This window comes from Homo sapiens, chromosome 15 (assembly GCF_000001405.40).
Source record: "Homo sapiens chromosome 15, GRCh38.p14 Primary Assembly".
NCBI classification, from domain to species: Eukaryota; Metazoa; Chordata; class Mammalia; order Primates; family Hominidae; genus Homo; species Homo sapiens.
Window position 1 is genome coordinate 20,742,874 of NC_000015.10, and position 23,716 is coordinate 20,766,589.

The 23,716-nt window shown below is 44.4% G+C and overlaps 1 pseudogene across 1 annotated transcript in view; it reads right to left on the reverse strand.

Moving 5' to 3' along the window:
* Positions 1-13,278, reverse strand: part of NBEAP1 (neurobeachin pseudogene 1) — an 86,684-nt pseudogene extending 73,406 nt beyond the window's left edge. Inside the window, exon 1 of the transcript NR_027992.1 lies at positions 13,057-13,278. The product of NR_027992.1 is annotated as a neurobeachin pseudogene 1 (transcript). The remainder of the gene's footprint in view (positions 1-13,056) is intronic.
* Positions 13,279-23,716: the final 10,438 nt, after the last annotated feature.

Below are 23,716 nucleotides of genomic sequence, written 5' to 3' on the forward strand. Positions count from 1 at the left end.
TCCACCATATTGAACTGACCTCTCACCAACCGACTACCACTTTTCCAAGCATCTAGAAAATTTTTTGCAGGGAAAATGCTTCCACAACCATCAGGATGCAGAAAATGCTTTCCAAGAGTTCATCGAATCCCGAAGCATGGATTTTTATGCTACAGGAATAAACAAACTTATTTCTCATTGGCAAAAAATGTGTTGATTGTAATGTTTCCTATTTTGATAAAGATGTGTTTGGGCCTAGTTATAATAATTTAAAATTCGCAATCCAAAACCACCATTAATTTTGTACCAACCTAACAGTACCTACATTTATTACCTCAACTGCTCTTCAACTTTCTTTTTTTGAGACAGAGTATCCCTCTGTCACCCAGGCTGGAGGGCAGTGGCACAAATCTCGGCTCACTGCAACCTCCACCTCCAGGGGTCAAGTGATTCTCCTGCCTCAGCCTCCTGAGTAGCTGGGATTACAGACGTCCACCACCACGCCCGGCTAATTTTTGTATTTTTAATAGAGACGGGGTTTTGCCATGTTGGCCACGCTGGTCTCAAACTCCTGATCTCATCTGTCCACCTTGGCCTCCCAAAGTGCTGGGATTATAGACATGAGCCACTGCGTTCAGCCTAATCTTACTCTTTAAAAGAACAAAGTAAGGGCAGACAATAACGAATGTCTTAACCCAGAAATCTCACCTTTTTGAATGATGTTCTCCATTCACAGAAGCATTTAAAACACTACAAGTGTGCAGTAAACAGCAAAAGCCAACAAGCTCTAATCACTTAAACTCTAGAGAATATATGACACAGCTCTTCCTAAAATATCACCAGATGGGTATATAAACGTAGAACGGCTTAACTCCCAGCTGTATATTAACACCAAATCTCCAATAAGCCTATACTGTCATAATAAAAATCATTTGCCTAAATCTCTTCCAATTCATATTAGATGTATTAATATAAACCATATCCTACCTGAGTTGCTACAACTCCACTTGATATTTAAAACACACCACAACACACAAGCACACAAACACACATACACGGATACAGAACTTGGGAGTTCAGGCTGAGTTCTGCATTTACAGAGTTCATAGAAACCAATTTTTCTTAAGGTATCTTTCATAATTCTCAATCAGCTTATTAAAAAGAGAAAAACTAGATGGCTCAGTCCTCTTGTGTTTAACTGTGATCAAATCCCACAATGTCTTCAGTCATAGTAGAGTTCACAATGATAAAGTTCAAATAAGCTTACCTGCCCCATTCCTCCCATACTACTTCCTACAGCTGCCACTCGTCTTAGGAACTGGAGCCAGTTAACCACCCACTTTCTCAATGGTGACTGTGACCTAAACCTTCACAAGACATCCAGTGAAAAATAAAGACTTTAAAATAGCAGTTTTTGGCTGAGCGTGGTGGCTCAGACCTGTAATCCCAGCACTTTGGAAGGCCATGGGCGGATCACCTGAGGTCAGGAGTTCAAGACCAGCCTGGCCAACATGGTGAAATCCCATCTCTACTAAAAAATACAAAAATTAGCTGGCTGTGGCCAGCTTGTGCCTGTAGTCTCATCTGCTTGGGAGGTCGAGACATGAGAATCGCTTGAACTTGGGAGGCAGAGGTTATAGTGAGCTGAGATCACACCATTTCACTCCAGCCTGGGTGACAGAGTGAGACTCTGTCTTAAAAAATAAAAATAAAATAGCAATTTTTCCTACTTATAAAAGTAATACATGCTCATTGTAGAAAAATGGGAAACTATAGAAGAATAAGAAGCAAAAAAGCCACATTATCCCACCGAGACAGAAATTAATCACTACTAATATTTCCATTCATGGCAATCCAGGGTCTCTTCTGTATATCAAAGTGTATTAGTTCATTTACCAAACAGGATTTTAAGTACTGCAGAACAAGGGGGAAGTAGCATACTAATTCTTTGGAAGACTAATTTTCTTCAGTGTAAAGAAGTTACACTTACTGCTGAGTAAGTCAACCATATGTACAGGAAACTGGAGAGAATGACAAAGGTGAGGGAAATCATGCCTGCTTTTTCTTCATTCACTCACAGCAAACCATGGAGTCCATGTTTTGGGAACCATTATGTATGCAAAGACCAACTAATGAGTATGTTTCCTTTACAAATAGCAGCCTACTAAATAAACAAATACATACATACATATATACGAATATACAGTCTTGCCACAGGAGTTACACACACAGTGAAAGGAATGACATTAAGAGTATTTTTAAAATTATTATACTTTAAGTTTTAGGGTACATGTACACAACGTGCAGGTTAGTTACATATGTATACATGTGCCATGTTGGTGTGCTGCACCCATTAACTCGTCATTTAACATTAGGTATATCTCCTAATACTATCCCTCCCCGCTCCCCCCAACCCACAACAGGCCCTGGTGTGTGTGATGTTCTCCTTCCTGTGTCCATGTGTTCTCTTTGTTCAATTCCCACCTATGAGTGAGAACATGCGGTGTTTGTTTTTGTCCTTGCAATAGTTTGCTGAGAATGATGGTTTCCGGCCTCATCCATGTCCGTACAAAGGACATGAACTCATCATTTTTTATGGCTGCATAGTATTCCATGGTGTATATGTGCCACATTTTCTTAATCCAGTCTATCATTGTTGGACATTTGGATTGGTTCCAAGTCTTTGCTATTGTGAATAGTGCCGCAATAAACATACGTGTGCATGTGTCTTTATAGCAGCATGATTTATAATCCTTTGGGTATATACCCAGTAATGGGATTGCTGGGTCAAATAAATGGGATCTAATTAAACTAAAGAGCTTCTGCACAGCAAAAGAAACTACCATCAGAGTGAACAGGCAACATACAGAATGGGAGAAAATTTTTGCAATCTACTCATCTGACAAAGGGCTAATATCCAGAATCTACAATGAACTCAAACAGATTTACAAGAAAAAGACAAACAACCCCATCAAAAAGTGGGTGAAGGATATGGACAGACACTTCTCAGAAGAAGACATTTATGCAGCCAAAAGACACATGAAAAAATGCTCATCATCACTGGCCATCAGAGAAATGCAAATCAAAACCGCAATAAGATACCATCTCACACCAGTTAGAATGGCGATCATTAAAAAGTCAGGAAACAACAGGTGCTGGAGAGGATGTGGAGAAATAGGAACACTTTTACACTGGTGGTGGGACTGTAAACTAGTTCAACCATTGTGGAAGTCAGTGTGGTAATTCCTCAGGGATCTAGAACAAGAGTATGTTTTTTGTCACCATGAAAGTATCTTAAGAGACAGTAAAGGGATATGTGAAAGGTTGATCTAAAATTCATGACCTCTTCCACAAAAATAGTTTCTGTGCACATAAGATGAAGGAACAATCTAACTACGGAAAACGTAACTGTTGATTTTATAATGCTATAACTTATTTACACGTATAAATAAATATGCAGGAGTTTAAACAGTTAGTCCACAAATATTGATAGCTTACTCTGTACCAGGCAATGTATTAACTGCTAGGGAGTAAGGGAGAGAACAGCCACCAGTCCCTATTTCTGCAGAACTTTCAATCTGTCTCTTGAAGTATGATGTCAAACACTAGGCATGTGGCCTCAAGCAAGTCACAACAGTCCTGATTAAATGATGATCTCAAATCCTTGTGATGATCTAAGAAGATATATGTGAAAGTAGCTTATAAATCATGTTACCTAAAGTAAAAAGAGATATGTAGCCATTTGTGCAAAGCACTGTTTATAGCAATCATCTTCAATAGAAATTATCTTTATTTATTTGTTTATTTTTTGAGATGGAGACTCGCTCTGTCACCCAGGCTGGAGTGCAGTGGCGTGATCTCGGCTCACTGCCACCTCTGCCTCTGGGGTTTAGGCCATTCTCCTGCCTCAGCCTCCTAAGTAGCTGGGACTACAGGCACCCACCACCACGACTGGCTAATTTTTTGTATTTTTAGTAGAGATGGGGTTTCAACTGTGTTAGCCAGGATGGTCTCCATCTCCTGACCTTGTGATCCGCCCACCTTGGCCTCCCAAAGTGCTGGGATGGCAGGTGTGAGCCACCGCGCCCGGCCTCTCATTTCTTTTAACTGGCAAAAAATAATCACTCAAGTTGCTTAATATAATCTCTTTTGACAGTCTCTAAGATTTTGATATTATCTTTCTCTGCCAATGACCCATATGAAGTAACTGAAATTAATTTTCCCATGATGGGGGAGAAAAGATTCACTTTTTTCTAATACAAAAAGCTTTATTTCCTGATTTCATAATTTATAGGGGTTAGGGGGCAGGCAGCCACAGATCAAAAGCAACTTATTCAAACTCAAGAAAAAAATTATCTTTTAATCTAAGAATCACCATGGAAAGTTTGTTATAGGCTCAGGCTAATCCAAATAGTTAGTGACAGGTTAATTGTGGTACTTTGAAAGCAAAGGAGAGCAAGTAGCAATTATTCTTCCCTTCACTCAGTCTCTAACACCTAACCTCTTAAAAAACAGGGAGATATATATTATAGCCAAATTGCTTTCCAAAAAACATAATTTTTAAAAATATGCTCTACACAGTATCAACTGTTTGTATCTAAAAGAAATAGACTATTTACATTGCTTTTTATCCTACGATTTATCCTTTTCAAATTCAGCCACCTCAACGATGCAAAAAAGTATCAAACTGATGCTTTAAATTTATTTTTGCCCTTATTGCAGATACGACTCTAAAGAGCATGGGGAGTTTTTTTTTTTTTTTTTTTGAGATGGAGTCTCGCTCTGTCACAGACGTTGGAGTGCCGTGGTGCAATCTCGGCTCACTGCAACCTCCACCTCCTGGGTTCAAGAGATTATCCTGCCTCAGCCTCCCGCGTAGCTGGAACTACAGGCGTGTGCCACCACGCCCAGCTAGCTTTTTGTAGTTTTGTAGAGATGGGGTTTCACCGTGTTAGCCAGGATGGTCTCAATCTCCTGACTTCATGATCCACCCGCCTCGGTCTCCCAAAGTGCTGGGATTACTGGCGTGAGCCACCATGCCCGGCCTAGCATGGGACATTTTAAAGGCATTCATAATCCAACTAAACAGGACCACCTGCAAAACTAGTGAAATGCCCAAAAACAAACATGTATAAATGCCCAATATTAAACCTCAAGGGTCTAAAGCAGTAGTATCCAAAGCAAGTATAACATACCTCCAGGAGATCGGGCATGGTGGCTCACACCTGGAATCCCAGCACTTTGGGAGGCTGAGGCTGGCGGATCACTTGAGCCCAGGAGTTCAAGACCAGCCTGACCAACATGGGAAAACCCATCTCTACCAAAGAATACAAAAATTAACCAGGCATGGTGGCAGACACCTGTAATCCCAACTGCTCAAGTGGCTGAGGCACAAGAATCACTTGAACCCAGGAGGCGGAGGTTGTAGTGAGCCAAGATTACACCACTGCACACCAGTCTGGGTAACAGAGCAAGACTCTTGTCTCAAAAATATGTATATAGATCATATATTATTATATATACATATATATTATACATATACACACACACACATATACACATGCCTGCACACACACACACCTCCAGGAGTACCCAAGAAGCCCCAGGGTAAAAAAGGAAAATATTTGAACTTTATTTTTAATTATCATCCTTGTTAATTTTTTGTTTGTATTTTAAAGTCCACAATAATCAGTTACTATATGTTTATTACTTGTAAATTAAATATCTAAGGATTAAGAACTGATGCTCAATATTTTTCTTTTTCTCTTTTTTCAAAGCAACAACATGAAGTTGTATCAATTTTTTTTCCTGACTTCATTCTTCCCATCCCATCAGTTTTTTGTTTTTTTTTTAAAGAGACAGGGTCTCACTATGTTGCCCAGGCTGGAGTACAGCGGCGGTATTCATAAGCACAATCACAGTGAACTTTAGCCTTGAACTCCTGACCTCAAATATCCTCCTGCCTAAGCCAACTACGTAGCTGGGACCACAGGACCACGTACCACACCTGCTTAATGCTCAAAAGTTTTTGGTGATGGGGTAAGCAACCAAAGTTTGGAGACCACTGGTCTACACGACTCATTGTCACTGAACTTTCATTTTTATCAGCTCCCTCCCAAGAGTTAAGCTATGGAAGTAAGTCCTGATGCTGAAAAAGAAACAGAAGAAAAACTGTTTCAAACTATTTTGAACTCCCAACAAGCTAAAGATGACAAATCACTAGCAAGAATATATGGAATTGAATACTAATATGCTGTTGACGGGAATTTCAAATAGACATCCTATCTAAAGGGCATCTTGAGTATATCCACATTTAAAACACACATACCCTTTGACCTAATAAGCCCTTTTTTTTTTTTTTTTTTTTTTTTTTTAGAATGAGTCTCACTCTGTCGCCCAGGCTGGAGTGCAGTAGCTTAATCTCGGCTCACTGCAGCCTCCGCCTCCTGGGTTCAAGTGATTCTCTGTGCGTCAGCCTTCCAAGTAGCTGGAATTATAGACCCTCGCCACCACACCAGACTAATTTTTGTATTTTAGTAGAGATGGGGTTTCACCATTTTGGCCAGGCTGGTCTTGAACTGCTGACCTCAGGTGATCCACCCACCCGCCTTGGCCTCCCAAAGTGCTGGGATTACAGGCATGAGCCACCATGCCTGGCTAATAAATCCGCTTTTAAGAATTTATCCTGGGCCAGGCGCGGTGGCTCAGGCCTGTAATTCTAGCACTTTGGGAGGCCAAGACGGCCGGATCACGAGGTCAGGAGATCGAGACCAGCCTGGCCAACATGGTAAAACCCCATCTCTACTGAAAATGCAAAAAATTAGCTGGGCGTGGCGGTGCACGGCTGTACTCCCAGCTACTCAGGAGGCTGAGGCAGGAGAATCACTTGAACCTGGGAGGCAGAGGCTGCAGTGAGCCAAGATCATACCACTGCACTCCAGCCTGGGTGACAGAGTGACTCTGTCTCAAAAAAAAAAAAAATTATCCTAAGGAAATAATAGGACAATTCAATGCCCAAACAAGTTCATCACAGTACTACTTTAAGAGAAAAATTGGCAATATCCATTAACAACACAGAACTGCTATAAACTATGATGCATCCATATTATAGAACACTAAATACTCATTTACTCATTAAGGGAATATCAATTTTACATGGAAAGTTGTTCTTTTTTAAGGTATTTCAATAGGTATGCATAAGAAAAAAAATGAAAACACCAAACATCACATCCAGATGGGATTACAGGTTATCTCTACTTTTTTTAAAAAAGAAAAACATTAAAACTGTTCTGGGCCAGATGCATTGGCTCACGCCTGTAATCCTAGCACTTTAGGAGGCCAAGGCAGGTGAATCACCTGAGGTCAGGAGTTAGAAACCAGCCTGGCCAACATGGTGAAACCCTGTCTCTACTAAAAATACAAAAATTAGCCAGGTATGGTGGTGGGTACCTGTAATCCCAGCTACTCGGGAGGCTGAGGCAGCAGAATTGCTGGAACCCAGGAGGCAGAGGTTGCAGTGAGCTGAGAAAACGCCACTGCACTCCAGCCTGGGTGACACAATGAGACTCCATCTAAAAAAAAGTTCTGTAGCTTTCATAATCAGAAATAATTTCACTTTGAAATTTAAAATGAGATTAAGTTAAAACTCCAAATTATTGTCCTGTATCACTTCTAAAACTCTTTGTAAACACTCTGTCTTCCCATGTCATTTGTGGATCAGTCTAAATACTTAATCTAATATTTGGTTTATCTCATGGAAAAATGATAGGCATATAATAAACAACAACCCTGTTTCAAGTTAACCATCTTGTCTTTATACCAATTCTTGCCAGTTATGTCATGATTTATCAATATACTTATAACTTCCTTATATTCTGCCAGATTATAAATCTATGAATAATTCTGAAAATTATTCAGAAATTTCTATCTCTCTTCTGCAACTAAGTTACAAAAGTATTAACTACTTCGGGAGGCTGAGGCAGGGAGAATCACTTGAACCTGGGAGGCGGAGGTTGCAGTGAGGCGAGATCATGCCATTGCACTCCAGTCTGGGTGACAGAGCAAGACTCTGTCTCAAAAAATATATATATATGTATTAACTACTAAAGAAATTAGATTTAGACCCCAGATAAGTGAAATCAGAAAAGCTTGCTACCATCTGTCATAACAGAATCATTCTGAATATCTATAGTTATCAGATCAAGACAATACCTGTGTGGTTAACAAGTACTCCACACTCCATCTTAAGGGAAAAGAGTACTTAAGAAGATTATTATAGCATAAGTTTATGTGCTTTGTTCATTAATTCAACAATTTAGAACAAAGCTATGAGGTATTTCACCGCTAACAGAATAGCTTTAAGGTAACCCATCTTCACAATTTTCTCTTTGTTTTCATTTGTTTCATGCCTTATTATTTTATAGACAGTCATTCTATCGGCATTGCACAAGTACTATGTCCCTAAACAACTACGACCAAGTTTTATCACGACCCAAAAGAAAAAATAACTTTCTAGGCCAGGTGCAGTGGCTCATGTCTATAATCCCAGCACTTTGGGAGACCAAGGCAGGACTACTCAAGCCCAGGAGTTCAAGACCAGCCTGGGCAATGTAGCAAAACCCTGTCTCTACAAAAAATGAAAATAATAATTTTTAAAAAGAAAAAATACATTTTACACGGCAACCAAGTATACATACATAAACATATCTTTTAAAAAGAAAGAGAAGTTTCCCAAATCAATATTTACTTTTACTTTACACAATGTACTGATATATTCTTTTTTAAAATGCTTTTTAAAATAAGTACATTGATTTCATTACCCTATGACACTGCCACCTGCTACTTAAAAATGTAGCCTTAAAACTTTATGCAGAGTGTGCTAAACTCCTTGCTCCTACCACCTTCTCCCACGACTCCAACATAAGAAAATGGGTAAAATCTAGCAAGTCTATTCTAAGTACAGACCTTGGCATAAATGTGAGACACCCCAGGTTCCTCTGAAGTCCCTGCAACATTGTGATTATTCCAACTGGCAGACAGGATACATTTGCTGAAAGGTTTCTCCAGCCAGACTACAGAAGCAGAAACCTTTTCTGTTGCCTTATCAGTGATATTGCTAAATTCTGCACTTGACAATGTGGACCAGGTTTACTACTGCTCCACAAGCCAATTCTTCCAAGAAATAAAACAGGATTCCAATATCATAGGATTCTAATACCAGACCCTTACATTTTTTGAATACTTTTCAAACACATTATTCCGTTGCATTCTCCCCCTGGCAGTCTGTTAGAAAAGTAGAGAAGCTGCTCTTCTTCCTTTCACTAATGAAGGAATTGGAGCTCAGAGGGGTTACGTGGCTTGCCAGAAACAACACGGCTAATGAAGAATACAACGCAGGCTTGAACCCAAGATTTACTCATCTATCCACTTTTATGCTACAATTTTCATTTTTAATATCTGATACAAGTATGAACTTAAAAAGTATATTGTTTCTAGATACAAAAGCAAAGGTGAAAGCATGATATCAATATTGATGATACCAAAAAATTAAGATTAAAAATAGCAATGACATGTTAATAATTTTGGAGGCCTCTAAAGTTACTGGCAGTCCTAGTTCAATCCAATATGAATCTGATATCATCTTATATCTTCAATCAATGTTACATGATTATAAATTTATGTATATATTCACCATAGAAAATTACAGAATTGGGTGGTAAGAAACAACTAGCTATATAAATTGCACATACTCCCCCAAATCATTCTCAAGTCTTGTGGCTTCACACTAAATTATGAAGTTCCCAATGTAAAACCTGATTTGATTTCAACACTAAGCGAATTACAACAGCATAAGCATGTTCTTACTACATAATACTTGCAACATACATTCAATTTCCGAAGCACTTTTGGACAATGTCTAAAATCCATAAGCTAAAAGCAGAACCCAACACAGAATCTTGTTTCTTTTAAATGGCAAAGGTTAGTCTACCTATATGAGATGAATACCAAATAACATAATTAGAACTTATTAAAAATTTACAGAATCAGGCTAGAGAAACTACTTGAGGTCAAAGACTATAGGCCCTTAATTGTATAGATGAGAAAATTGATGCCCAGAGAAGTTAAGTGACATTCCCAACAGCAATTAATGACACAGATGGAATCAGAATATATGTCTATCTGTCAATCCAGAACTTCCCATTATTCTATATTACCTCTGCATTTAATGTGCTCTTAAAAAAGTCACTAACATCTAAAACACTTAAGACACATTAAGACTCAAAAACCAGGGGACACAACAATGTTCACGACAGTCTTTAGAAAACAATTTCTTAAAGGAATCTCAAAAATTCCAAACAACAAGCACTGAAAGCTGGCTCTTTATTTTTTTTATTTTCTTTCCTATCCAGAGCCCTACTTGATCAAAAACTGGCTCTTTAATCCATTGCAAATTATCAAGTAGCTTTTAATAACTAACACGGCTATAAACCACCATAACTGTTCTTTTTTCCATATCAATACTATTCACTTACTAAAAAAAAAAATCTGAGGGTATAGAATATGCTGATAACTGTGCTGGGTATTGGCGACACCAGGGAACAAAACAGACGAGGCCTCTGGCTCTTCTAATGGACAGCTGGGTGCAACTCTCTAAAAATACTACTTCATGATTTGACAGGATATTTGCCAAAGTCCTTCACTACTCTACACAACTATAACAACATTTTCTTCCACCTCTTCCAAACTTATAATAACCTTCACCACACCCCCTCTAAAACGTGAATACGTCCTTTGGTAACTCAGCATTCTACTTCACTAAAGAAGGTGTGAACGTGTTAACTAGAACTACAGCAGATTTTTAAACTGACTTTACCACTCCTCACGGCCTGCGGCAAATTTCAAGAACTTTTCACAATCTGTAGTAACCCTTCCTGGTTCACAACCCTGATCTCAAATGACTGCTAACACACCCATCCTACCCTCCACTAGAAATCTGAGTCAGATGGTTTAGGAGCAACCATGTTAGGGAGCATCTTCAGTGGACCCCTTTATGAGCCAGAAGCTGACTTACTTCCTCTCCTTCTCTGTTTATTTCCTCTGGATTCTTGTGTATCTCTGGATACAATGTATCTCCAATTAATCAGCATCTAATTTTATCAAGTGTGTTCCTGATAACTTGTGCACAAATTAACTTTTGGCAACAAATCTGTTTCACCTACACAAATCCATTATATTTTAAGAGATGCTCAATTTGCATCCTTTAAGTTTCTCATGCTTCCCCTTCTCCACTTCTTAAATTCTTAAAAAGCTATAAACTGCATAAGTTCGAGGAACTTAGGTCGTCCATAATATTGCTAATGACCAGCCTTAAACTAGACAACCACTGAAGAACCTGGCCTATGAGCTGAGAAACTTGGGTTCTTTTATGGCTGGCCATTAACGACAAGTGGGGCTGTACCACTGTGCTGGTCACTTGAAGTTCTCTGAGTCACCTGAAAATGAGGGAGTAATTGGAGCCAAAAGAGGTCTGTCATCATAGGCAGCCAATCTAGAATTCTAGAATCCTCCAAATTTAGTTTAATATCACATACTATACTGGGTTACTCAAAACAGTGTCATTCTGGCTGGGGGTGGTGGCTCACGCCTGTAATCCCAACACTTTGGAAGGCCGAGACAGGTGGATCACTTGAGGTCAGGAGTTCCAGACCAGCCTAGCCAACATGGAGAAATCCCTGTCTCTACTGAAAATACAAAAATTAGCCAGCCGTGGTGGCGCACACTTGTAATCCCAACTACTTGGGAGGCTAAGGTGGGAGTATTGCTAGAATCCGAGAGGCGGAGGTTGCAGTGAGCAGACATCACACTACTGCACTCCGGCCTGGGCGGCAGAGCGAGATAACGTCTCAAAAAAAAAAAAAAAGTGTCATTCTGTAAGCTCTTCTAGCCTGCCCAAGTCATAGGCCCTATAAAGGGAAGACTTTCTGCATGCCATCAATGTCTCCTGTCCTACTGAACAGCCCTGAATCTGAAAGGGGATGGTCCCCCACCACCTCTCCACGGACAAATCATAAACATTTAACATTTAAAAAAAATCATCTCCTGTAATTCAACCCAGGCCTCTCATGGCATTACCATTCACATAAGAGAAAGTTGAACCTCAACTGGAAAAGTATATGGTTTGGGGATGTTGTTTTGTTTGTTTGGGTTGTGGAAAAACAGATGTCAGAAAACAAAGTGGATATCAAGATACTAGAACAGTAAGAATTTAGGCCTCGGTCTGCAAACGACATTTGAACATCAATATGTAATAGTAGTTCATGTCCAAAACTCACAAGTGAGATTATCAAACTCCAGGGGAGTCTATTAATGTGGCCATAAAATCTACCCCATAATTTTGACATAACTTTTCCAGCCCAAAATACGACTGACATCATCTTATGGGTCCGGAAATACCATACATCAAGGAAAATTTCTACCGGAGAAATAACACTGTAATCGTTTGGGGAGCAGTCTGACCAGTGTTCCCTGAGTTACGCCAACCGCCCCCAACCATCCTTCCCACCTAATTATTACCAGGTCAGGAGGATGTCCTGCTGCACGCTCAGGCGGTCGCTCCTCCTTTCCACAAGACCCAGGCCCGCACCGTTCGCCCCGGGGCTCCCATGGCCCCCGACCTCCAGTCTCCAGCAACGATGGATCCCCACAGACCAGGCAGGGGGCGAAGGGCGCACACCCACCTCCCGGGAGTCAGTGGGAATAACCCCGGGCGCTCCCAGGATACGTCCCACACCCGGAGCCGCACGGGCCCATCCCCGCCAGGTCTGGGCAGGCAGCCGGAGCCCGGGACCCCGCCTCCCCCGCACCTAGGGTCCCGGCCGAGCTCGACCGCTGAGGTCCCGTTCCCACTCCCACTCCCAGCGCCTCCCCCTGGCGGCGGCGGCCGCCCGGGACGCCCCTCCCCTGGCGCTGCCTCCTCAGAGGGTGACAGCCGCCTGGCCGGGGCCGTACAGAGGCCGGCCCCTCCTCCAGCTCCTCCTCACCCCGGGAGGAGACAGGGGACGGGGATGGGGTTCTTACCAGGCAGCAGGACATGGCAAGGCCCGCCACGGCACAGCCTCCTCCTCCACCATCTCACCAGGCTCCCTGCCAGGCCCGGCGCAGGGCAGCGACTGAGCTACTAGGGCGTCTGGTCCGGCTGCTACTCCGCCGCCGCCGCCGCCTTCTCACAACCACAACAACACTGCAGCAGCGGCCACACAGAGTGCACTCCCGACGCCGAGCCGGGCGACGAGCGGAGACCCGCGCGCACGCTCGGGCGCTGAAGCCGGTGTCCGGGAAAGGGGGCGGGTCTCCGCCTGTTGGACGGGGGCGGGGCCTGGACAGGTGGTCACGCCCCAGGAGATAGGCGGGGCTGCAGCCCAGACGAATACCAGCGGCTGGGGAGAGGCTCGCGAAAAAGACCAGCGGAGGCAGAAGGGCTAGACAGATGGGAATTGGGCGCAGGAAAAGCGATGACAAAAAAAAAATCTGGAAGATAACCAAAGGTGGTCCTACAAATTTTTAGGAGGCGTCTTTCCCTGGGCAAGACATGGCTCACTCTACTTACCAGAAAAATAGAACAACAGTGGTTATCTTTCACCTGCAATTGTGGTCAGGATAAAACCAGTTTAATATAGTGCAAGTAAATGTAGTGTTTTAGAAGATGTATTCAGGATACAATTTCTTTTTTTCGTTTCTTTTTTTTTTTTCTGTCGCCCAGGCTGGAATGCAGTGACATCTCAGCTCACTGCAAACTCCGCCTCCCGGGCTCAAGTGATCCTCCCACCTCAGCCTCCTGAGTAGCTGGGACTACAGGCGCAGAACATCATGCCCCGCCAATTTTTGTATTTTTTGTAGACACGGAGTTTCTGCCATTTTGTCCAGGCTGGTCTCGAACTCCTGGGCTCAAGCAATCCACCCACCTCGGCCTCCCAAAGCGCTGGGATTAAAGGCATGGACCGCCGCACCCGGTCCAGAATACAATTTCAAGCTGATTCAACTTCAGCTCCTAATCAAAAGCTTAGCGGGAAGAAGTGAATTTTCAAACAAAATAAACCCCTCCCCCCAAAATTGTAACCTACCCACATTAGCCTGCAGAATTCCACAAACCAGGATTGCATTACCGCAGGCCCTAACAGATTCACCTCCTCTGAGTTGCCTTTTAACATTCTACCCTTGACTTTTCTGGAAACTGTCTGGGAGAGCTAGTCAAATGAAATCTATTCCTGCATCTGTTGTAAAGTTTTTCCACAGCACTTTCTGAAATTTATTTTCAATGTTTATTGTTTTTTCACTCCACTTAGAATGTAAAAGCTACTTGAAGATAAGGATCTTGTTTGTCTTGTTCACCACTATTTCCCCAGCACCTAGAACTGTGCAGGCTAAGTAGTAGGCAGTCGAATTTCTTGATAGCTGGCTGGGCGCGGTGGCTCACGGCTGTAATCCCAGCACTTTGAGAGGCTGAGGCGGGTGGAACACCTGAGGTCAGGTGTTCGAGACCAGCCTGGCCAGCATGGTGAAAACGCGAATCTACTAAAAATGCAAAAATTAGCCGTGCATGGTGGCGGGTGCCTGTAATCGCAGCTAATTGGGAGGCTGAGGCAGGAGAATAGCTTGAACCTGGGAGGCAGAGGTTGCCATGAGCCAAGATTGCGTCACTGCACTCCAGCCTGGGTGACAGAGCGAGACTCCATCTCAAAAAAAAAAAAAAAAAAAAAAAAAAAAAATAGCTAACATTTATTCATACAACTCATCTAATTGAATCTTCACAACTTTAATAGGTAGACGCCGTTATCTCCATGTTACAGATGAAGAAAGTGAAGCACAGAATAAATTGCATGTATTAAAACAAAATTCAAACCCAAACCCAGCAGACAACAAACAAACAAACACACAAACACACAAAAAACCACTGTACTCTCACCCACCAGGCTGTACTGCCCAGTGCATGACACAGTAGCCTGAAATAAAATCTCAAGTAAGAAATTACTTTAGGCCGGGCACAGTGTCTCATGCTGGAAATCCCAGCACTTTAGGAGGCCAAGGCAGGTGGATTGCTTGAGCTCAGGAGTTCCAGACCAGCCTAGGCAACATGGTGAAATCCCACCTTTACAAAAAATACCAAAAAACTGGCCAGGCATGGTGGTGCGTGCCTGTAGTCCCAGCTATTTGAGAGGCTGAGGTGGGAGGATGGCTTGAGCCTGGGAGGCAGACGTTGTAGTGAGCCCTGATTGTGACTGCACTCCAACTGGGTGTCAGAGCGAGAAAAAAGAAAGAATGAAAGAAATTACTTTAGAGGTAATTCTTGGAAAGCCCTTGCTTTACTACCAGAAAAACCAGTGCACTTCCTGCTTTTTGATAACTCTTATGCAGCTGGTTGTGTCTCTCTTTTCACTCTGGCTTCCAGAAAGCCCAGGGCTAAATGTGAAGCTCAGCAATGACCCCTGCTTGGCCCCTAAGGTCCACTCTTGCCTCGACTTTGCACCTTTATTTATATGTGGCTGTCCTGATTTTCCCTTTGTGTTATATGACGGTAGGCTTTATGGAATGGGAGAAGAAATAGTAAACACATAAAATTGATGAATGACTTAAAGACTTTTATTTTATTTTTGAGACAGAGTTTCGCTCTTGTTGCCCAGGCTGGAGTGCAATGGCAGGAACTTGGCTCACTGCAACGCCTGCCTCCTGGGTTCAAGTGACTCTCCTGCCTCAGCCTCCTGAGTAGCTGGGATTACAGGCATGAGCCACAACAGCCGGTTAATTTTTTGTATTTTTAGTAGAGACAGCGTTTCTCCATATTGGTCAGGCTAGTCTCGAACTCCCGACCACATGTGATCCGCCCGTCTTGGCTTCCCAAAGTGCTGGGATTACAGCTGTGAGCCGCCATTCCCGGCTTATTTTTATTTTTATATTTTATTTTATTTTCACACAAGGTCTCACTCTTGCCCAGGCTGGAGTGGAGTGGCTCACAGCCACCAGGTGATTTGGGCCCACAAGTCACCCTTGCTAAGAGGCAGAGTCCAGAGCAGAAACTGGGTAGATGCCAAAGGCAGCACTCCCTACTCCACACATGGGTTTCTGTCAAGTAAATCACCAGCCAGGTGAGGTGCATACAGCATCTAGGGAGATGGGACACCGTGTTGTCCCCTCCTTCAGCCAGGAGGCCCCACACTGAGCGCCACTGCCTCCACTGTCCGATGCTACAGGAGAAACGTTTCCTGCTGGTTAAGGAAGTAGAAACTGCAGATCACTTTTCATCTTATTGGAAATCACTCTTTGACACTCTTGCCTCATCTTCACTCAGTACACATTGACTCTACCAGCAATAGCGTAAAAATAAACATAGCTTAAGGAAATAGGAATCCTTTATTCCTGGGACTTAAAAGCTTGACTTTCTCCAGTAAGTCAATTACCAGTGCCCACGGCAGGAAGAGCTCTGATGCCAGGGTTGACAGCACGCTGGAAAACCGGAGGAGTGTTTGCATTTCTGGGGCCTCAAGTAATGAGAAGTTCTTCCAAGAACACTGACAGGGGTATTATTGCCCTATTTTAGAATTATTACTCTGAAGATCAGGGAATTTCAGGCGGTTGAACTCATGCCACAGCACCTGTGCTTTTCTGGTAGGGGAGGGATGGAGTCCAGCTCAGGAGTCCCCCGTCATGGGGGAAAGCACTGTGATGGGATGTCTGTGGGGGAATTAGAACCCTATAGCAGATGGGATAGGGTGGGGAGTCTACATATTTTTATTTGGATGTTTTGATGGAGTAAAGTTCCAAACCAAGCAAGTATCAGGCAGGGGGCAGTCCAGGCTGTGGTGCTGTGCTGTGAGGCTGGGAGTCCAGGCAGGTCCTGTGTTCACTGGTCACTTCCACAGCCTGAAGCCCCTCGAAAGGACATCTGCACAGAGGCCCGCTAGTGACTTCAGGATGCTGATGATGCCCTCAAGGTGAGAGCCAGAGAAAATCCCGTCAACTCTGTCAACCAAGGGCATCAATGGCCACGTGTGTGGTTTTCTCCTGCAAAGAACAAGCCAGTTTGCAAACCATGCTTTTGAGGCTAGAAAAATGGCTGTATTCCTTCAGTGTCTCCTGAAGGCTGGGTCCCCTGAGAGTTGATTCAAATACTGTATTCTCGTAAAATATGGTAACATTTAGACCTGAAAAATGGCCTGGGGGATAATCTTATCAAACCTCTGATGTGGTTATTTTGTAACTGAGTATATTGAAGGCTGGGGAACAAAGCCATCTGGTGCCAGCATCCTAGCTGCTCTCTCTCCTCCAGGGGCTTGCCTTGGTTGGGGGCCTTTCCAGCAAAATTAGGCTGAAGAGATGAGATTTTAGTTAAACAAGGCCCACTGTTGCTTTAAGACAAAATGTCAAAGTTTTAAAAAATGTATTAACTTGTTCTTTTGGCCAAGAAATCAATAGATGCACTTCCTTTCCACTGTGCAGGCACTGAGCTGACAGAGGAGTAAGAGCTTGAACCATCTACGTGGTCTGAGTGACCACATCCTTCACTTGGAGCCCTGTTCTACAGCAGATAATTCTGAGTCACCCCAGCTAATGGCTGTGCACAGCATCCTGATGCTCTGATTAGGCTGAGGGGCTTGTGGCGTGGTGGCTAGGCTGTCTCAGAGAGCACCTCAGGCTGGGTGGACCAGGCTGACCCAGAAGAGGGCAATGGGCCTTTGACAGGGACTAGCTGGCTACTATCTGCCTCTTCTGCAGTTTGGGACACTTAGGGTCATGGGTGAAAGTGTTTTTCCACATATGGTGGCCCGAAAGGAAAGGAAACTCATGCCAGTGTTCAGAAAGTGTGCGGGTTTCTCAGGTAACGTTACTGCAACCACTGATGTCTAATCCAAAGAGCTCTGAATGCTTGCCATAGAGATTTGTAGTTTTAATACTGAAGCCCCGAATATTCTGATTTCCTCATTAAGACCGACCTAACATGAGCTATGCAGTCAGCTAAGGTATCAACGGGAGGAAATTGCCAGTGTTTCCCTCTTATTTTCCTCTGAGGTCATCTGAAAACAACCGCAGTGAGGACGGAGTTCGTGCGGCCCTGATGGCTGTGTGTTCCCAGCTCCAAGCATGCACTAAATATTTAATTCATTTGAATATAAATAAGTTAATGAATATGAATACATTAATAAATTAATTGGCATCGTTTTAGTCCTGTTGCAGTTTCAAACTCACCGATTTATCCAACTTCTTTGCACTGAGTTCTTATTCAAGTGAAGTATTCCGGTCTTGTGACTTGTACTTCTGACATAGTAATAGAACAACTAATATTTATTTAGAACTTTAGTTTACCAAGCACTCTACATTTTATTTTATTATTTATTTGTTTATTTTTTTTAGTAGAGACAGGGTTTCACCGAGTTAGCCAGGATGGTCTCGATCTCCTGACCTCGTGATCCACGCTCCTCGGCCTCCTAAAGTGCTGGGATTACAGGCTTGAGCCACCGCGCCCAGCCTACATTTTATTTTTACATTTTGTCTTTACAAACCCCCACGGGGCAGGCATTCTCCTTACACGCAGTGTTAATTGGTGACACAGAGGCTCAGGGGTTTAAATGGTTTCACTGTAAACAATGTAATCTAGTAGGATGTTGCTTTCCTATTTTTCCTAATACTACCATGTTTAGATGTGGGTGGCTGAGTGGGAGTATATGATTTCCTGTGTATGTATAGATGTAACCCACACTCACGGGCGGAAAGTTCTGCAGGCTGAGAAGTGAAGCCCTTTGCTGAACAACCACCAACAACATTCTAGGGCCCCCACACCCTTGGTTCTGCAGGCTATACCCCTCCCATCTGCTTAGAAGCAGAAAGAAAACTCTGCGGTTACTTTTCCCTTTGACAATAAGCCGCGGTTCTCTTCAACGTTCTCCTGGGGACTTGGGTCAATGTTCTCACATGCAAATGTTAGCCAGGCCCAGGGTTATTGTTTCCCCTACCCCTGCGGATTGATCATGGCATGCAACTGCCCCATATTGTATTTTGGTCACCCCCATCGGCATCCCATCTGCTGCTAGTGCCTCTGGCCAGCTTCTCGCATGGTCCTGACACGGTGCTGTCACTCTCACATTATTTGCACACATTGTTTACCTATAGCTGGACACATTGTTCATAGGAGCCCAGCTGGTAAAGTAAAAATATTCCAAGACTGTGCTGATAAGCTACTTCTTCCCTGCATCCTGGGCTGGTGAGAAGCTAAAGAGGAATGAATGCTCTGCCTGTGAAGAGGCCGCACTGCAGAGAAGAGGAGGCAGAGATGCAGTCGTCACGGCCCTAAGACCCTGCCTGGACCCGGTTTTGCAAGTCGAGGGAAGAGTTTTGCACAAATTCTCACTGGGAGCATTGTCAGGGCTGCAGCCACATCACTTTTTTTTGATCTGAGTCCTTTTAACATTAGCTATGATGTCAAAAAAGATGAAATTGAAGTTGCCAACATCTGGTGGAAGGCAAAAACCAGTGAATTTCTACCCAGGGAGAGTTCCTCTGCAGGGTCCCCGCTTCTGGTGGCCTGGAGTTGGGGAGGCCTCTGGAGCAAGTCAGGGGATTAAATTCTGGGTTTTCTTCCATTTTTTTATTTTCCTATTTTGACATCTTTGAAAAATGGCTCAGCCTCATAGTGTATGGGTCTTCTGATTGCTTTTGTCTTGATTTTATTCTGACTGAGGGGCAATGGCCACTGTGGGCTCCTCATCCAGGATGAAGAGGGCCCCTCTGCGGCCTGGGTGCATCCATGCTCTTCACGGTGGCCTCATGGATCGTCATACAAAGGATGATCTCAGTGATGAGCTTGAGCCTACCCAAAATTAAATTATATGGGTTTATAAGATTCCTCCTCAGGATCAGTATCATCAGGCCTGTCCCTGCTGGTAGCAAGGCCATCTTTATAATGTGCTGTCATGGTGGTAAAGGCATCACTCACTTGATGGAGATCCCAAAGACCAGCTCTACTCGAGAGAGATTTAAGCTAAGTTGCCTGGGAGTCCTTGGTGCTTTTTCGAGGTTCTACTGAAGACAATGCCATCATCCAAGTATCTCTGAATGCCAACGTAGCTCTTGCCTCAGGAGCTCTGAGACCCATGTTATCTATTTTTGAACTGGCCAAGGCCCCCCACAGCAAGGAAAGGGATGCTCTTCCCATCCTTGTCAGCCCTCGTGTCTTGTATTCCACCCCACAGCCTCCTAGCAAGCATCTCAGTGTCTGCAGGTGAGCATGGCTGAGTTCAGTCTTGCTTACTGCAACTGTAGACATGAGGTCTGTGGAAGTAAGAATCCTCTCATTTGCTGACTGGCATTTTGTTTAAGTCCCATGTCACTAATCTCTGGCGAGACAATCCTCTTTGTGTTTCCTGGTGATGGACTTGAGTGATTTCAATGTAAACAGTGGCTCCACCTGGGAGTGTATCCCCTTCCCATGGGGAGGGGGTGCATAGCCCCTGCCAGGTTTCTGCTGTCCTCTCATCCTCCCACTGGGCTTTTCCCCTGCCCACACTGCCTGCAAATGGTCACTCTTGCTTGTCCCAACACCACCTCCACTGCAGCTTCCAAGAGCCCTAGAAGGGCCGGGCCCTGGCTGAGCACTATTCCTAGGCCCTGGATGGCGGGTGTGGAACTATGTTCTCATCAAGGTCATTTCCTCTTCTATTTTCATCATGTTAAGTAAATCCCTCTCTCATCATGAAATGCCCTGGAGAGAACAGATGCATAGCTGTGGAGTCTTGTTCTGGGATATGTCAGGTACCGGCTCAGGTGTGTGGAGGCTACAGGGGGTGGACATGAGTGGTCTTTCTCTCGCTGTGAATCACATGTTTTGTGCCAGCCCAAGGGTTCTGTGAAGGAGAATCAGCCGTTTACCTGGCTGAGTCTAACCCTGGGATGGCGACAGCCGAAACCCCAGCTCCATTCCCTGACCTTCCCTAGGCTGCCGCATGGGTTCCCTGGCACTGTCACTGGGCTAATGCCTTCTGTCTCCTCCTGGGGTGAGGCCAGCCTTTACTCATAGTTTCTGCCCATTCCACATCATTCTGCCTCCCACCCTTGGCTTTTTCAAAAATCTGAGCCAAGCGTGTGCAAGGGGTTAGAAACATGCTGTCCACAGGGAACTAAAATACACTGAGATGAGAAACCAGCAGCACCTGCTTTGGAGCTGTCACACCTGGGAACTGAGAAGCAAACTCTCAGAGATGCCTGGAAACCTTGGGAGCACATGAGTTCTCTGCATATATTTCGGTTGCAGATGAGTTTCTAGTCAAAGTAAAAAACACATGAAGGGCATTCATGTTTCCAGGAACAGAAGCATCCTGTCTGATTTTTCAGAGGTGAAGGGAGCAGTCTGAAGGGGCCGTGGCATAAGTATGTCTACAATCAAAGCTCACAGCCAAGGCCCTGGGGGAGGTTCAGGTGTACCCCAGGGGGTGCGCCCCATCCAGCACTCCACTGACAGGGGCCTCGTCTTTATTAAATTCTAGGCCTTTTCCTGGGCACTAGTTACAAAAGGTGGGTTCAATGAACCCTAGGTTCTGTGGCTGCCACCCATCTCAGGGTCACACAGGTAATGATTGCCACCCCCTCCACCTTCTGCTGAGGGTCCTGGTGACCCCCTGGTGGTGTAACCCAGGCCCTCACCCCTAAGGGGTCCTGAGCCTTGCTCACCACAGAGTCCTTGGTCTAGGGCTCCCGCACTTGTCCACATGCCATCAAATGCTGTGTACCGGGAGGTACTTGCGTGGAGCCCCTCCTTCCCCAGGCAGCACAGCCCTGCTTCTGCTAACACCACGGTCCAGGTGGTACCCATTTTTCTGCCTGCAGGTCCCATGGAGGAGTAGCCTGAGGACAAAGCAGCACCCGGAGCTTGTTTTTTCAGAGAACCTGGCCCAGCCCTGGCTAGAAGCCCCACAACTGTGGAAACCAGGGCCTCCTGCTTTTCAGAGCCTAGATATGCAGGATATAGATGCCCCTCAGAGGTCCTGGCTGTGAGGTGGAAGGTTGGGGGACACTGGGCTTCCTACTGCTGTGCTCCCATTGCCACATCTTCTACCTGGTGGGACAAGGCAGCTAGCAAAGGTGACAGATTCACCCAGACACTGTGTCCTCCCACATCCTGACCTGGCACCTGAGCCACCACTGCTGGGTCTGAAGCTCCCAGGAGTGTGTGTGTGCTGTGACCAGCAGACCTATGGCATGTGCCCTCTTCCTCCCTCTGTGGTGTGAAATCAGTTCCTCTGATGGTGTCATGTGAGGTCTTTGTCCTGATGGGTAGAACTTTCTATAAACCATCCCATGGCCCCGGGGAAAGGCAAGCTCATCCCTTCAGGTTTAGCTGTTTCTGTTAAATGCAACCCTGTCCTTCCCAGGGCATCAGGGCCCCGTGCAGTTGTCCCAGCCTGGCAGGAAGTCCCCTTGAGGATTGTGTGGAGGGCGCAGCCTGGGCCTGACTCGTGACCCTGGCAAAGAGCAGGTGAGCCCTGGGGCTGACCACCTGCACTTCCTGTTTGGTGGTGGGAGATGTGGGGCAATATTTCTTGCATTTCCTTTAGAGAGCATCTCCCAGCCTGCCCAGACAACCAGACCCCTAAACATGTGACTTGTAGGCAGGGCCTGGCTCTCTGTGGTGCTTTTCTGTCTCCTCCAAGCACCTGTGACTCCCAGGCTTCCAGCCCTGCCAGCTTCCCCCATCTGAGCTCCTGATGCAGGGTGAGGACTGTATTGTGGCAGACAGCATGCCGGTTTACACAGTTCTGGGACGAAACTGTAGGTATACATTATTTTATGTCCCGAGTAAATGAATCCTATTTATGGATACTTTTTTTGACACAGAGGGAAGAAAGGCATTGGTGAGATCCACGGGCCAGAGCTCAGCCTGTGCTCAGGCTCTGGCAGCAGCTGTGCAGCTCTGGAGCTGTTGCAGAGTGGGGAGGTGCTGTGTCTTTGCTCCCTGTGTTAAAGGCTTCATTTGTGTCTTTGTTCAGTTTGTTTTCTTTGACCCCTGTTCAGCAATACTGAAAATCAAGCATTCCTAAGAGGTGGAGACTTTGCTTTGGAGCAGGGGCGGGGGCATTGGGTGGAAATGGGGAATAGCTTGATAGTGGGAATTTCATTTTCTGGAGCTCACGTGCAGCCTCTTGATGGCCTCGTCACAAGTTCACCTGATGACCTGAGTGGCCACTGTCCTTCTCCTGAGTGAGTTATGTGCTTGCCAGGCACATGAGCAGTGCATGCTCACATTTTTCAAATGAAGGAACTGAGAAGGGTTTGTCAGCAGATTGTAAGCCTGAAGCTGCCAGTGTTTGGTCCACAGTAAACCACATGTGGAGAGCTTAAAAAAATTGCCCTCAAATCTGGCAAGAAAATGACAGTAATAAATTAAATTATTACTGTGATACACATGTTTCTTTCATTACAATTAGATATATTACACATATCCCAATTTTGCAGAAGTTTATCATCTATCAGTATTTATTTATTTTTTTTTGCATAAGTTTCCAAGGAATCCTAATGATGGGGACTGTCTCTTTTAAAATTAAATTGTGTAAATAACTCCCAGAGCCATGCTGGTAAGAAACAAAACAAAACAAAAAGAACTAGAAACATGAACAAACATTGGATTTCTGCTGTAAAGAGGATGCAAAGCAGGCCTGCCTGCTGCACCTCCCCAGAGCTAATCCTTGAGCCAAAAGAG